This window comes from Homo sapiens, chromosome 13 (assembly GCF_000001405.40).
Source record: "Homo sapiens chromosome 13, GRCh38.p14 Primary Assembly".
NCBI lineage: Eukaryota > Metazoa > Chordata > Mammalia > Primates > Hominidae > Homo > Homo sapiens.
Genome location: NC_000013.11, coordinates 25,500,772 through 25,517,723, shown reverse-complemented (window position 1 = coordinate 25,517,723; position 16,952 = coordinate 25,500,772). Strand labels below are relative to the sequence as shown.

General features: G+C 43.3%; 1 protein-coding gene and 1 pseudogene across 12 annotated transcripts in view, besides 1 other annotated feature; both read right to left on the bottom strand.

Moving 5' to 3' along the window:
- The window catches only part of ATP8A2 (ATPase phospholipid transporting 8A2), a 653,878-nt gene that overhangs the window by 508,128 nt on the left and 128,798 nt on the right, over nucleotides 1–16,952 (bottom strand). The window lies entirely within an intron of this gene.
- RNU6-78P (RNA, U6 small nuclear 78, pseudogene) lies at nucleotides 499–605 on the bottom strand (annotated as a pseudogene).
- Nucleotides 4,161–5,033: an enhancer, noted in NCBI's record as "H3K27ac hESC enhancer chr13:26086829-26087701 (GRCh37/hg19 assembly coordinates)". NCBI's record gives its function as "activates a minimal SCP1, AML or CMV promoter by ChIP-STARR-seq in naive H9 embryonic stem cells {active_cell/tissue: H9 hESC(naive)}" and the evidence as "EXISTENCE:reporter gene assay evidence [ECO:0000049][PMID:30033119]".

Below are 16,952 nucleotides of genomic sequence, written 5' to 3'. Positions count from 1 at the left end.
AGATACTGCTTTATCTCATAGCCTGTTCCCAGAATGCAGTAATTGGACCAGGAGAGGTATTAGTGCTCTTTTAGACTATCTGTCACAAAACACATCCAAGGAGTGAAATGGAAGTCGACTGCTGACCAATCAATTTACAATACACCTTTGAAGGTAAGTTCATAAATTAGAGTCTACCTATAATTCCTATTAAATAGTGTGACTGTCCTGCTCCTATCAGATTTCCAAATCTGTTCTATTACTCAATGCATTATTCAACAAATAACTATGGACATGAAACACTTTATCTCAACACCTGCATGGAAACATGAGCTGAGAAGAAGATAACATTTTGACCACTGAGCATGCTGCCAGGAAGATCTTCTAGTGAAAACAACTCTTAGATAACCAATTCCAAATGCAAGATATCAGATATTTATGGCTAATATCATTAAAAGTGACATTATTGAAAAGCAGGTTTTACCCAAGTGATTTATTCTTTCTTTTTTTTTTAACTTTAAAAACATAGAACACTTCATGAATGTGTGTGTCATCCTTGCGCAGGGATCATCCTAACCTTCTCTGTATCATTGCAATTGTAGTCTATGTGCTGCCAAAGTGAGCATGACCAGGTGCTTTATATTAAAAAAAAAAAAAAAAATGTGACCAGGCACGGTGGCTCATGCCTGTAATCCCAGCACTTTGGGAGGGCGAGGTGGGTGGATAGCTTGAGGTCAGGAGTTCGAGGCCAGCCTGACCCACATGGTGAAACCCTGTCTCTATTAAAAATACAAAAATTAGCCGAGCTTGGTGGCAGGCACCTGTAATCCCAGCTACCTGGAAGGCTGAGGCAGGAGAATCGCTTGAACCCAGAAAGCGGAGGTTGCAGTGAGCTGAGATTGCTCCACTGCACTCCAGCCTGGGTGAGAGAGTGAAACTCCGTCTCAAAAAAAAAAAAAAAGTAAGAAAGAAAGGAAGAAAGAAAGAAAAAATGTGAACTTCATGGTATAAAAACAAAAAAAAAAGAGTTATGAGATTTATTTAATTTTGCACTGCAAGAGAAGGATCATTTTTAATGAGATTCTTCTCAATTTTCAATTAAAAGAAACAACAATTATTTGTTATAAAAATATCTGGCCTCAACAAGTACAGGAATCATTACAATTCAGGCCCCATGCAGCCACTGCCCCAAAAGAAACGCAACAGGTCAGCGTGTGAAACTCTAACACTAAAACATATTGCATTTAAGTATACCACATTTGGCCTTTCATTCAGAATTCAGTATATTCTTTCCAAACAGAGGGAAATAATCCCTACTACAAGGAAAGATTTAAGGCTGTCCTAAGTGTTGGCATGCTACAAACCAAGTAAGGAGCAGCAGCCACTCTGAGATCGAGTTATCCAAAGGCAAGGGCCTAAACCCATCCTTTTCAGGTCCCAAACGCTTTTGCCCTCAGTCAAGGGTGCACTGGTTCTCGGGGAGGACATACCTTGTCAGAAAAGACACTTCCCAAGGAGACAGGGTTCAGGAACTACAACATCAAATAAGATCTGGATGGAAAGCTAAACCGAAGTGGTCAAGCTGGGAGAACATCGGGAGCTGAGATGATTGGTACACAGAGATTTCTAGTATGGAAAACACAAATGTTTAATTTAGGTCTGGGTAGAAAGCCATATCTATCCGTCCCTCATGTTGTAGAGTTAAAAATCTGGGGCAAGCTATATTATTCTATCTTTCTGGATTTCTCACATAATTGTCAAACTTTATTCAAGTGTTTAATTCTAACTGACATTTCTTTGTTTATCATGCGTATATAGCAAAGTGCACAAAACCAAAGTGTGCATATATAGCAAAGTGCACAAAACCAAAGTGTACAGCTCACAGTTTCATAAAGTGGACCCATCCCTGCAGGTGTCTAACTGAAATCCAACATAGAGACATGAGTTAAATAGGTCTGTTATGTGCAGGATTCTAACAGCAGTAAAGACCCGATCTAAAGGCTGCCTAGCTTCAGACTGACAATTGTAAAATGGAAACACATTTACCACTTCTGCCTACAGGGACACCACTACCATACTAGAAAGGAATGTAAAAATATGCAGTCAGTTTAAAACACACACACACAACTAGGAATGGAATCATTAGCTAAGATGTGGGGTTGTCTTTTTTCTAAAATAGACTTCTTTCTGCTTTCGCCAGACAAGTTGAACATGCCTCCAAGACGCCTTCTGAGTATGAGCTGCAGGGAGAGAGAAGCCCACAAGAGGGGCTGCCGCCTAAGCAAGGGCCCTGGCCTGCGAGGCAGGAAGAACGGGCTCTAGCTTCACAAATGGTATCTCAGAAGATATGTCAATCCATTTTTAAAATAATAATGCAGTTGTAATAAGAGTGTCATTGTGTCAAAGAAACAGAGCCACTAGGTGACATATAGAGATTTATGATAAGGAATTGGCTCACACAACTATGGAGTCTGGCAAACTCCAACACCAGCAGTGGGAATGGGCAAGAGGGCCAATGGTATGGTTCCAGTCCAAAGGCCGGTGGGTTGGAAACTCAGGAATAACCATTGTTTCAGTAGCTCTGAAGGCGGGAAAAGCTAATGTGCCAGTTTGAAGATTGTCGGGCAGGAGGAGCTCCCTCTTACTTGGCAGAGGGTTGTTCTGGTCAGGGCTTCAACTGTTTGATGGGGCCGCCCACACTAGGGAGTCCACCTGCTTTCCTCACTCTACTGATACAGATGCTAACCTCATCCAGAAATCCCCTCGCAGACACTCAGAATAATGTTCAACTGGATGCCTGGGCACCCCATAGCCCTGTCGAGTTGACACATTAACTTTACTATCACAATCATATATTAGGCAGGGCAGAGGCAGGCACAAGCCCAGTGCATTGGAGACAGGGGAGCCTGTGGACAGGAGGGGAACAGTTTCAGCCTGCAGAGCTCAGGAGACTCATGAGACATCAATGATGGAAAAGGGTCTGTGGCAAGCATAGAAAGCAAAGGGAGGTATTTGAAGTCCATACACAGAGGAGCTCACACAGGAAATCAGGGCTAGGAATCTGGAGGAACCCCACAAGATAAACTATAAAGAGTTCGAAGCAAAAGACTTCATAAAAGAAACATGGTTCCTCTCTCACAAGCCCCCTTCTTCTGGTTACACCAAAATCTTACACAGCCAGGCTGCTACACCCACAGCCAGGAGTATTCCCAGGGCACCCACACAAACCTCATACACTCATGTCTAAAAGTCCTTCACCGAAAAGTGAGTCTTGCTATCTGGCCTGCACTCACAGAGCACCCCATCATCCTGCTACACTTCCTCTTTGAAAAATTACCAAATATGTGTAGAAAGCCTGCACCACAAAAAAGAGATTTTAAATGAATACAGAAGAAAGGGGAGACCTGAGGAAACAGTACAGCAAACTTTAAAAGAATATTTTAGAGTTTGGAGTAATGCTAATTCTAATATCCTCAGAGTCATAAGATGATAACACATTCACATGAAACAAGAATAAGATGGTATTTCTAAAAAGGAAACAGAATAAAATGGCTATTGGCAATTGGAAGTACGCTAGCCTAACTAAAATATTGCAAAAAAGGAAGTGAAAAATAAAGCTAAGCAAATTTTCCAAAAAGTAAAACCAAAAAAACAAGATGCAAAATAAAAGAGACTTAATAGTACAAATACAAGACCAATATCCAACTATTAAGAGTCCCTCTCCCTCTCCCTCTCCCTCTCCCTCCCCCTCCCCCTCCCCCTCTCCCACTCCCCATGGTCTCCCTCTCCCTCTCTTTCCACGGTCTCCCTCTGATGCCGAGCCAAAGCTGGACTTTACTGCTCCCATCTCGGCTCACTGCAACCTCCTTGACTGATTGTCCTGCCTCAGCCTGCCAAGTGCCTGCGATTGCAGGCGCGCGCCGCCACGCCTGACTGGTTTTTGTATTTTTTTGGTGGAGACGGGGTTTCGCTGTGTTGCCCGGGCTGGTCTCCAGCTCCTAACCGCGAGTGATCCGCCAGCCTCGGCCTCCCGAGGTGCCGGGATTGCAGACGGAGTCTGGTTCACTCAGTGCTCAATGGTGCCCAGGCTGGAGTGCAGTGGCGTGATCTCGGCTCGCTACAACCTCCACCTCCCAGCCGCCTGCCTTGGCCTCCCAAAGTGCCGAGATTGCAGCCTCTGCCCGGCCGCCACCCCGTCTGGGAAGTGAGGAGCGTCTCTCCTGGCCGCCCATCTTCTGGGACGTGAGGAGCCCCTCTGCCTGGCTGCCCAGTCTGAGAAGTGAGGAGCGCCTCTTCCCGGCCGCCATCACATCTAGGAAGTGAGGAGCGCCTCTTCCCGGCCGCCATCCCATCTAGGAAGTGAGAAGCGTCTCTGCCCGGCCGCCCATCGTCTGAGATGTGGGGAGCGCCTCTGCCCCACCGCCCCGTCTGGGATGTGAGGAGCACCCCTACCCGGCCGCGACCCCGTCTGGGAGGTGAGGAGCGTCTCTGCCCAGCCGCCCCGTCTGAGAAGTGAGGAGACCCTCCACCTGGCAACCGCACCGTCTGAGAAGTGAGGAGCCTCTCCGCCCGGCAGCCGCCCCATCTGAGAGGTGAGGAGCCCCTCCGCCCGGCAGCCACCCCGTCTGGGAAGTGAGGAGCGTCTCCGCCTGGCAGCCACCCCGTCCGGGAGGGAGGTGGGGGTCAGCCCCCGCCAGGCCAGCCGCCCCGTCCGGGAGGGAGGTGGGGGGGGTCAGCCCCCCGCCCGGCCAGCCACCCCGTCCGGGAGGGAGGTGGGGGGGTCAGCCCCCCACCCGGCCAGCCGCCCCATCCGGGAGGGAGGTGGGGGGGTCAGCCCCCCGCCTGGCCAGCCACCCCGTCCGGGAGGTGAGGGGCGCCTCTGCCTGGCCGCCCCTACTGGAAAGTGAGGAGCCCCTCTGCCCGGCCAGCCGCCCCGTACGGGAGGGAGATGGGGGGGTCAGCCCCCTGCCTGGCCAGCCGCCCCATCCGGGAGGGAGGTGGGGGGGGTCAGCCCCCCGCCCGGCCAGCTGCCCCGTCCGGGAGGGAGGTTGGGGGGTCAGCCCCCCGCCCGGCCAGCCACCCCGTCCGGGAGGGAGGTGGGGGGTCAGCCCCCCGCCCAGCCAGCCTCCCCGTCCGGGAGGTGAGGGGCGCCTCTGCCCAGCCGCCCCTACTGGGAAGTGAGGAGCCCCTCTGCCCGGCCAGCCGCCCCGTCCGGGAGGGAGGTGGGGAGGTCAGCCCCCCGCCCAGCCAGCCGCCCCGTCCGGGAGATGAGGGGTGCCTCTGCCTGGCCGCCCCCACTGGGAAGTGAGGAGCCCCTCTGCCCGGCCACCACCCCGTCTGGGAGGTGTACCCAACAGCTCATTGAGAACAGGCCATGATGACAATGGCGGTTTTGTGGAATAGAAAGGGGGGAAAGGTGGGGAAAAGATTGAGAAATCGGATGGTTGCCGTGTCTGTGTAGAAAGAGGTAGACATGGGAGACTTTTTGTTCTGTACTAAGAAAAATTATTCTGCCTTGGGATCCTGTTGTTCTGTGACCTTACCCCCAACCCTGTGCTCTCTGAAACATGTGCTGTGTCCACTCAGGGTTAAATGGATTAAGGGCGGTGCAAGATGTGCTTTGTTAAACAGATGCTTGAAGGCAGCATGCTCCTTAAGAGTCATCACCACTCCCTAATCTCAAGTACCCAGGGACACAAACACTGCGGAAGGCCGCAGGGTCCTCTGCCTAGGAAAACTAGAGACCTTTGTTCACTTGTTTATCTGCTGACCTTCCCTCCACTATTGTCCTATGACCCTGCCAAATCCCCCTCTGCGAGAAACACCCAAGAATGATCAATAAAAAAAAAAAAAAGAGTTCCACAGAAACCAGAGAAAGATAATATTAACAAGTTATACAGAAGAAGTTGCTAGAACTCTAAGAACAAAGATTTCTGATTGAAAGGGTACACGAAGTACCCACAACAATGAGACACATACCAAAATTTTTCATTATAGAATACTAAATATTTTTCATTATAGAATGCTATTTCTAAACCATAAAGATATTAAAAAGAGCCTATTTATAAGAAGAAAAAAAATGAAGATGAAATTGAGCCTCTTAATAGCAACACAGACCTCTAAACTGACACTTTAGATTTCTATACCCAGCCAAGCTATCAGACACTCACATCTACTTTTCACATAAGCTTTTCTAGGAAGCCTCTTACTGCAAGATGTTCTTCAACAATACAAAACAGTAATCAAGAAAGCAACCCCCCACCCCACTCCCTGACAGTGTCTAAATATCAGGGAATACAACTCAAGAAAGCAGTGAGAAAGTTCTGGGATGACCACTTTACAGCAACACATCTACAGGGCAGCCAGTTTATCTGGCAAGAAGATGGCGAGGTGTGGAGGGGAAGGGGTAAAACCAAGAGATTATTCTGGGATATTTATTTTAAAATATATAGAGAGGTTATAATATAAATGTGTATTGATCTGATGGAAAAGATAAAAATTAAAATGCAAAAAAAATTGTTTAAGGAGAAGAACAAGGCAGGAAAAGCAAGTTATACTAGAAAAGAGGCAAACATGATACACTGCCTCACTACTTGGACCTGAGGTAATTAACTGAAATCTGCATCTATAAGAGAGTTCAGAGAGATCATTTCTAAACTGTATTTCACAATGTAGAGAAAACCACATTTCTAAACTTAATTTTGAAATATGGTAGAAACCTCCAAAGAATTAAAAACACAAAGAGTTCAAAGTGGTTGCCTTTGGTGGAACAGGACTGGGATGGGAGAGAGGGCAGGAGATTATTGATTTTCATGATAAGCACTTCTAAACTCTTTCAACTTTTAGCTACCTACATGTGTTGTTTTAATAATACTTTAATATAAAAAAGTAGTATCCAGATATAACTGTCAAGGGACAGCTGATTATTTTAGCTAAGTTTAGGACTGGTCATACATAAGGAGCTTTTTTTTAGAACATGAAATCAGACTAAAGACCCAGTTTGTTTCTATACTGCTTCCACCACAAAAGAGCTAGTAACTACTCATATCTGATATCACTCCCCACTATCACTTCCTTTTGCCAGCGGCAATTGACACCTAGATCATGGATAAAAGAAGGGGAAACTGTCATCTGCCCCATAAGAGTCTAACAAGAAACAAACATGAGTACAGCACTCAGAGTGCAACATTTGTATGTATTCCTTTGAGATGAGCAGGCTGGCTTTCAGCACAGGAGTCTTTACCCTAAAACTCACCCCACAGGGAAATCGAAGAGTCCAGTTCTTCCCCTTTAAATGGAAATCACTTTATTCTAAAACGTATTTGCTCTTATTAAGTTCTCTTGCTTCCTTTCATCCTCTGCCAAATTCCTAGAACATCTTTCTTTCTTCTTTTCATCAAACCACATCCTTCTCCTTTTCTGAGCCAATAGCCCAAGGGGTCATCTTCTCTAACAAGATTTTCTCTATTCATGTCTACCCAAAGTGTACAATCTGTAATCCATCCATTTATTTCAACATTCTCTGTGTGTGTGTGTGTGTGTGTGTGTGTGTGTGTGTGTGTGTGTGTGTTACAGACAGACGGGAACAGACAAAGGCAGGGAGTCAGAGAGAGAAAGAAATTTCTTGTCTTGTACTGTGAGCTCTAGGCTGGTCACATAAAATATTTATTATCTTAACCACCTGTCCACGCCTTGCAGGTTGAACGCTCATTGTACAACTCAGACCAACAGCACAGTGCCCTCTACTGGCCAGCCAGCATAGCAGTGTTTTCTGCAAAGTAAACATTTGGGGCGTGCGCCAGATGAAGTTCAAGTTCTTCATAAATTATCTAATAATAATCCTCAGAGAACTGATGTTTAAGGAAGAACTGTAATAGCCTTATTGCATTTGGTTCTTGCATATTCACTTATATCCATTTAAAATAAAAACACAATGTACTGGTATTCATTCCTAAGTAATTCTAAAATGTTTAGTCATCTTTTCATTTAATTTACTCATTAGTTTACCCAGAAATCACAGAAGGAGAATATTAAATTTTGTGGAGACTGGATGCAATTTGTATACAACATGTATACAATTTGGGAATCTTGCTTTAAGAAAAATACAGTATTACGAAAACAAAATTGGGCACAGAAGTGAAGTTTACTTATAATGAAAAAAACACAACATATTACACATTCATGAAGGCTGAAAAATACATCACGTTATCCAGAAAACATACTATTTTTATTAAATACTATAATATTAATATTAATAGTCCATAATACTTTCCCCTCCATATTTTTAATTTTATTTGTGTGGGTAGTTTCTTAGAAAATTTTGTAAATAGTTTGTATAGAAAGAACAGATAATTCATTTTTCCTCTAGCAATAATTGATCAATTATTTTTAATTGATCTTTTGGTAAAGCTTCTTTCAGCTCCACAACTTATCAATATATGTCATGTAAATTTTTATGATGGTTGTCAAATTTAGAGGGATTGCCATGAAATTTCCTTTGTAAGTGAAACTTAAAATCTAGCTTCTGGCTCCACACATTTCAAACACTGTCTCTCCAATATGACTCACATACTTCAAGCATAATATACCACACTGATATTTTGATACTTCTAGAAATGCTACACCATATCATAACCTCAGATGCAGAGGTGGCCAGGAAGAATATTTCTGGTCCTTATTTCTATGCTGGGAGAGCTAAAAATTTACCTGTTCACAAAAGTGACTGCACACCATGTAAATACAACTCTAAACCCAACGAAATGTTATTTCTAACTCAACTTTCCCTTACCCAGGTCCCCAAAACATGTCTCCTAACAGAAGAAGGATGAGAAGGGGGAAGTTTGGGTGAAAAGACACTGTGTTCTTACCCCAAGCAAGGCTCAAGTCTATTAAATTATGCAAAAATAATTGGCCATGTCTACATTGGTAAGGTCCCCCCTGGGGCCCTGGGGCAGACATTCTGAAGCGTAAATACCATTAGCTCCCAGAAAATCTGCTTCTGTGGATATATGCATCATCTAATACAAATATGTAAGTGATTTACACATGGTTATTTTAATAACAACCTATATACGTTTCCATCTTTTCTCCAAGTTTATACAATCTTACATAGATGTCTCAACACACGTATTCACACATAATCAGAGGGTTGCCAAAGTTCCACAAGTATGAGACATTATGCCATTTTCTGAATTTTTTTCTTTCTCAATAATATTGCAAAATCCTTGCAAGTCAATTGTATAATTCTAATTCATCCTTTTTAATGGTGATATAATTTTCCATAATTTATTCAGCCATTCTTCTATGATGAGCATTTACTTTATTTCCAGGCTTTGTATGTTATGAGACACGTCACAATAAAGACCCATGTTCATATGTCCATGAATACTGGTGAGTTTAATTCTAGGAGATCGATTGCCTGAAGTGGAATTAATGAGTCTGAGGGTCATGTGGTTGTTAAAAATTAAACTAAAGTCCGCACTGCATTCAGATTTCCTAAGTTCCTACCTAATGTCTTGTTTCTGTTCCTAGAGGAGCATAAATTTTAATATATAGTAGACAACATGCTAAAAGGATTTTCAAACTTCACATTCCTACCAGCAATGTGTTGGTGTATTATTTGCATGCATATTCCTGCCAGCAACAGATATTAACAGTTTTTTTTTACAGTACTGTCTTATGTCAAGTAAGACATCACTGTCACATTAATTTGCATTTCCTTGACTGCTAATCAAGTTAAATATATTTTCATACATTTGTGAGCCATATCATCTCCTCATATACTTTGCCCATTTTCCCACTGGTTTGTTGATCTTTCCAGCGTCCCTTTGCAAAGCCTCTTGGAATTGTCTGTTAACTCTATTTTATATTATGTAGTTTACATTTAGTAGTTTTCTAGACTACTCATTTGTATATCAAGTTTTTAATGGCACCTTTGACATACAAAGAGGTACTGGACATTGGAAATGTTCCAAAATATTTATAGCACCTTGGTTTAGTATTAAGAAGTTCTTCCCCAACCTCATTATATATGTAATGGCTAAGATTGTCTTTACTGACTTTTTTATGTCAGTCTTTAATTTCTGCAATCAGAATTTATTTTCACATATGATAAAGGATAGAGTTCAGTTCTGTCTTCATCCTGACACATAGCCACTTATTTAAAAATGGTACCAGCACAGCCAGGCACAGTGGCTGACACCTGTAATCCTAGCACTTTGGCACGCCAAGGAGGGAGGATCACCTGAGGTCAGGAGTTCGTGACCAGCCTGGCCAACATGGTGAAACCCTCTCTCTACTAAAAATACAAAAATTAGCCAGGCATGGTGGCACATGCCTGTAATCCCAGCTACCCAGGAGGCTGGAGCAGGAGAATTGCTAGAACCTGGGAGGCGGAGACTGCAGTGAGCCAAGATCGCACCACTACACTCCAGCCTGGGTGACAGAACAAAACTCTTTCTCAAAACAACAACAACAAAATACACACACACACACACACACACACACACACACACACACACACACAAAGAATGGTACCAGCACAATTACCCACCCCACTTTACTGAGATATCACTCTTCAATATATTGGCATGTATTTAGTTCTATGTCAATTCCCAACCAACTGATTTACAGTAGTTTTATACATGTTCTGACTCTTGGTAAGGTAATATCTCCCTCTACACAGTATTATTCCTTACCAAAATTTATATAGAGATACACAGATATACAGATATACACACACATATTTAGTTTCTTATTTATAAGTTTTATATGTAAAATAAGATATATATATATATATATATATGTACTGTACTGTATATATACACACACAGGTTAAATATCCCTAATCCGAAAATCTGAAATTTGAAATGCTCTAAAATCCAAACCTTTTTGAGCACTGACATGACACCTCTGCTTTCTGATGGTTCAATGTACACAAACTTTGTTTCATGTACAAAATTATTTAAAATATTGTATAAAATAACCTTCAGGCCAGGCATGGTGGCTCACACCTATAATCCCAGCCCTTTGGGATTATAGTGTCACAGTGTCACAGATGCTGCTCCTCTTCAGATCCACAGCCGTGTTCCACACGAGGAGAAACAGAGAACTGGGCACCTCGATCCGGGAAGTGGGGCTTCCTCAGATGCCCTCAGCTCCCGTCTCATTGGCCAGAACTCTATCTCATGAATGTTTCTGGTTTCAAGGGTTTCCAAATGGGTACATCTGGAACAAAACTGGTGGGCAATATCTGCCTTGATGACTTTTTCTGAAATACGCAAATGTCCAAGACGTGGCCTCCTGGTTTCCATATTGGAGGCCAGCCAGATGGTACATTTGGCCCCAATCCACCTTTGTAAGGGAGTCAAACTGGGACTATTCTATACCTTGCATAAATAGGAAAGAGCAGAAATATTAATGGTTTGTGTCTGAGGCATGACAAAAAAAGCATGTACCCATTATAGCATCCATAGAAATGACCTAGAATCAGGAGCTAAAAATCTGTCAGCTCCCCTCAAATGAGCCCTGCTCAATTAGAAAATCAACAACTTTCAGCAGGGAGAGCGGAAGAGCTCTCTCATCATTCGGTATTATCTAGGAGAAATATAAAATTGGATTTTCAACAAAGCTAAACGTAACTGTCCTTTATAGGAAGCTGTAACCAAACACTTGTTAGATCCAATTTCCTCAGAATAACCAAAGCCTGGTCGGGAACACAGAAAGCTGGTTTGTAATCCCAGCGTCAGCTTGGAGAAGCTGCTTGACCTTTCCACACCTCTAGCTCTACACTCTGCAGTGGAGGCCATCATTTTCCTTTCTCTATCGCGGGTCTTGTGAAGTTGCAGTTAATTTATAATTCTAGAGCAAGAAAGAATGCCTGTATAGGAGAATATAAAGGAAGGCAAGAATATGTCGGATATTAATAATACCTTGTTAATGATATTTGATATTATCATAGAATATGATATAGCATATATTGTATATAATAATAATAAGTTATGTAGAGCCATCAACATGCTAGCCAGTTGGCAACAGTTTTGAAAGGGAAATAAGTGAGCAGGCTCTCCTGGTAATGTCCAGACCTGCGGAGCGAAACAGGGATGTGTACGTCTTTCTGGATACAGATTTGGAACTATAATATCTCTAGAGAGATAGAGTCTCTAGGTCAGATACACTGAGAACAAAAAATATAAAGGGCTGAGGATGTGATAAAAAGTGAAGGCACTTATATCAGGTTGTGTTTTAAGAAGTCTATGAGGTTAAATTATACGTGTGAAGGTGACTTTAACACGTATAACAGTTGTAAAACACAAAATGATTTTACTAATCAGACTTTAAAACTAATATCAGACATTAAGGTTATATGAAAAGCAAGAAAGAAAATAATGGTCTTATAAAAGGAAAAATAAATCAAGGGGGTTTATGTGGTTTTGAGAAAAGAAACTGGAAGAATGAAGGGTATATGTCAATAGATCTCTTGAGAGAGAGAGAGAGACTGATTAACAGGCATTTCCAATGAGTTGTGACCACCACCCCCCCCCGCCCCGCCGAAAAAACAAATCCTACTTAACAAATCTAATAGAAGTTTTATCATCAGCAAACTTGAGACTGGAGTCAAAGCAATTTCAGACCCATTCAATCCAATAATTCTAAAACCAACACATACACTATTTTTGGTAAAGTGATTGCTATCAAGATATCTCACATAAGAAAGAGGAAGATGGGTAAGAGCAGTAATTTCCCCAACAACTAAACAATAACTGTAAATTCTCACTAAAAAAATACAATTCTGAGAATACAAACCGAAGTTAATAGCGTCCGATGGCCTCAAGCCCACTGACCCAAGCAAAGATTTAGAAGTAATGAGAACAATAGCCTGGTTTAGGGGCATGCACTTACTAGCAAGAGGACCATAGATTATTACATGTGACCTTTCCCATCACACTATAAAGTGACTCTGTCTGAGCACTGTATACTTTTTTTTTTTTTTTTTTTTTGAGACGGAGTCTCGCTCTGTCGCCCAGGCCGGACTGCGGACTGCAGTGGCGCAATCTCGGCTCACTGCAAGCTCCGCTTCCCGGGTTCACGCCATTCTCCTGCCTCAGCCTCCCGAGTAGCTGGGACTACAGGCGCCCGCCACCACGCCCGGCTAATTTTTTGTATTTTTAGTAGAGACGGGGTTTCACCTTGTTAGCCAGGATGGTCTCGATCTCCTGACCTCATGATCCACCCGCCTCGGCCTCCCAAAGTGCTGGGATTACAGGCGTGAGCCACCGCGCCCGGCCGCACTGTATACTTTTTAAAAAAAAAAAAAAAAAAAAAGGAAAGGAAAGATTTTTAAAAATTATTCTCAATAAATAATCTTCTAACCACAACTTCTGAAAAAAACATACGAAATAGATGTTAGATGAAAAAGGATTTTAAAATAATAGGATACCAATCAGTTCTATCTCTTCAAAATCTTATACCAATTACCAATCCACAAATAATTCTATCAATATAATATCTAATCCTCATACCATTTATATAGACAATACTGAATACTGACGGTATTCAATGCAAAACTGGACTGAGGTAGCAGGGTAGTGGAGCACAAAAATACCAATGAGCAACTTTCCACTGGAGTGAGGCAGAGGGAAGTGGACTGCAATCCACCACTGGATTCCTTCCAACATGCTCTCCAGTGCATTGCATACCCATGCGCATGACAGAATCACCTCTTGCAGCTCGAGGAGTTCAGACATAGAATGTTACTTCACAGTGCTTGTAAACATTTGGATAACCATTAGCAAAGGACAATCTCCAAATCCTACTGGAGAAGTTTTTTTTAAAGATCTACATACCTTGTTTGGCTCTGAGCTGCTATCTTGCACCCAGTGTGTGCGCACACACATCTTTATGCCTCTACCTACCAAATGCCGGCAACAGGCTCAGAGTCACATGCCACACCAAACTTGCCATTAAGGATTCAGGCTTTATCCTGTGGCTTGTTTTTTTAACCCGAGGACCTTAATTTTCTTCACAATTGACTGTATGACTATCCTTTTCAGCATCAGAGTTATGGCACCTAATCAAACTCTGAAAGATCCACAAGAGAAAATATACAGAGTGTTTAATTATTTTTCCAACATCTTACTCCTTCCAAGAGGGAGTTATTTCTTTCTACTGAGCACATGAGGTCTTGTCCTGGCCCCATGTGCAAATGGAGGCTGAGTTCTTGTGGATTTGGATCCTCCAAATGCCCAAGGGTAGCACCAGTGCCAAGCGTCTCACCTAGAACGCAAATTCCCATCTCAGCACAACTCCTGCAGCTGGAAAGTTCTGTATGAACGCTGCTTCATGGTGTCATTACTTGTCAGCATGCCGACCACCCTTTCCAACCTCACAAACAGTAGGGTTACTTCCCTTTTCATTCGGCTCTCTAATAGGCTACTCTGTTTGCGTATGTCATTGATTTCTTCTCAACCAGTACCCATTTCCACAGAAGGAGCCTTGGACTCGGTCTCGATGCTGCACAGGGCAACCAGCAGTCACCAACTCATCACACAACTTTGCGTAAGTCCCTGTTTGAACTATACAGTGAGGGGTGAGGAGTGAAGCCAGGTGGCAGCTCGTGTCTCTTCTAGACCCAATATCAGAGAGGCGTTTCCACCCAGGCAGCACACTGATCCCACCCGCCTAGTCCTGGACATTCTGCCCCCGCTTGGACACCTCCATGACAGCACTCTCGGCTGGACAGCTCTCAATGCCCAAAAGTTTGGTCAAGTCTTCCCCAACTGGTCTCTTCTCAAGCTAATAAACAAAACCACCACTCAGGTTTGACAATGCCTCTTAAAATGCATAGCAAAACAACATCCATGAAACACCCACTATACCTACACACGATTGTACTAGAAACCAGAACCCACACAATGCCAGCCTCCAGGTGTGTGAGTCTAGAGCATGGCACACAGGCCATGACATCGTGCAGTGCCAAGTACAACAGCCATAACAAGCAGGTGATACGACACGCACACACAGTCACATCTGAGTCCAAAGGACAAGTAGGAGTGAATTCGTCAGTGTTCTAGGTAGAGGATCCACCCGCTACCACTGTTCTTCTGAATATTATCATAGCAGTTACTATTTGTAGCTTACTATTAGCAGCTTAAAAAGTTAACTTGCCCTGTATCACCCAAAAAGCAAGTGACAGAGGCATGTTTCACATTCCTGTCTGCCCTACCCCAGATTCTGAATCACTTTCATTGGGTTCTAGTCCCCTGTGGGAATTAGATGACAATAAGGGACACCCTCCACAGAAAAACGAACACACGCCCACTGGCAGCATTCTAAGCTTCAATACTTGACAGTAAATTCATTTTCCCAATGACATGATGATGAGGTTATAATGAGGCTCAATGAGGATTTATCTGAATTAAACTATGTAGCCAAATAGCTCCCGTTTATTTCTCCTTTTTCATTGCCAGTGCCATCATGGCTTATTGGAAATCCTCACCACATCACACCTCCTAATTGCCTGAATCTATCCACAATGACACATGACTGCTGTCTGACATGCCACACAGCATGTTTAAAAACACCCCGTGATCCAAATCATAGCCAGCATTTGAGAATTTATTTTTGAGGCACTTGACATTACTTCAGAGGGTTGCTTTCTAACTAACAGAGTTAGGAAGTGAAGCCACGGTATGGGATCTGAACTTGCATTGTTAATAAATTCACAATGCCTTTCTTGAGCTCCCCAGCCTGTAATTAAAGGGTTCAACATTTGCTTCCACGCATGTCTTTCCAATGGTTGCTCCCCCTCCAGTGCAAACCTCTGCTTCAGACACGCATGTCTTTCTGTGTCCTGAACTCACCCTCCTTTCTTCTAGTCCTACTCCTTTCTGGAAAATCTGGACTGTTCTACCATCCACTAAGACATCTCCTCAGAGTCCCAGAGGACAAACGCTCCCTTCCCTGAAGTCTGGGAAAATTACCTCGCCCTTCAGCATTGAGCTTTATGCTACCTTCCATTACAAGTTAACCATGGATGTGTGTCTTGTCTCCATTTGATTATAAATAACAGAAGACTTCCCATAACATATTATAGTGTAATAACTATGTTTTCTTATTTTCTGTACCCTAACGCTCTGGCCCCTGGGGCTTCACTGACCCTGGGAGGGGATTGCCCCTTCTAGGGCTAATTCCTAGAAATAGCAAACAACTTGCCAGGGAATATGTCTTTCACATGCAAACCAAACAATCCAGTCTGTGCTGTGCCTCCCAGCTGCCTCCCTTAGGAAACTCTCACTCATCAAGCCTGCCCTGATCATTCCAGAGCCAGATGCCAGACAACCAGAGCAGCCCTTATGTCCAGAGCTCACTGAAATTATCCATATCAGCCAATTCTAAACCTGCTCATCCCGCCTTGCCCTTCTCATGGAAACCAGAGGGAAGGCCACTGTCCACGCTTCCTAAGCCACCTGGAGCTTCTATGTGTGGCCCTGGGTGGTGTGCCAGCCTCCTGTTTCTAGGGAACTGTGAGTACAAACTTCTTGATGATGCTCCTTTCTGTGTCTGCAGGTCTTACCATACTCGATTAAAACGAATCCCAGGTACATTTTTAAACACATGACTTCTGCATCTCTTTCATGCCTCCCCCTTTCTGCCCAACCATACTTCTAAAATAGTATCACATCATCGAGTAGGAGTCAAGTATGTCAAAGAAATACAAACATGGGTTGAAGAAGATAGGCATTCAAGTTTAGTTTTTCAAAAGTGAAAAAATACATAAGGCGTACAAATAAAAAAATGCACAGGTAATATATTTACATGCCTCAAAAATGTAAAAATACACAAAAAAGTTTTAACTTAAAATTATATATATTGGTGCCAGGTGGCTCACGCCTGTAATCCCAGCACTTTGAGAGGCTAGGGCAGGTGGATCACTTGAGTCCAGGAGAACAGCTGGTGCAATGTGGCAAAACCCC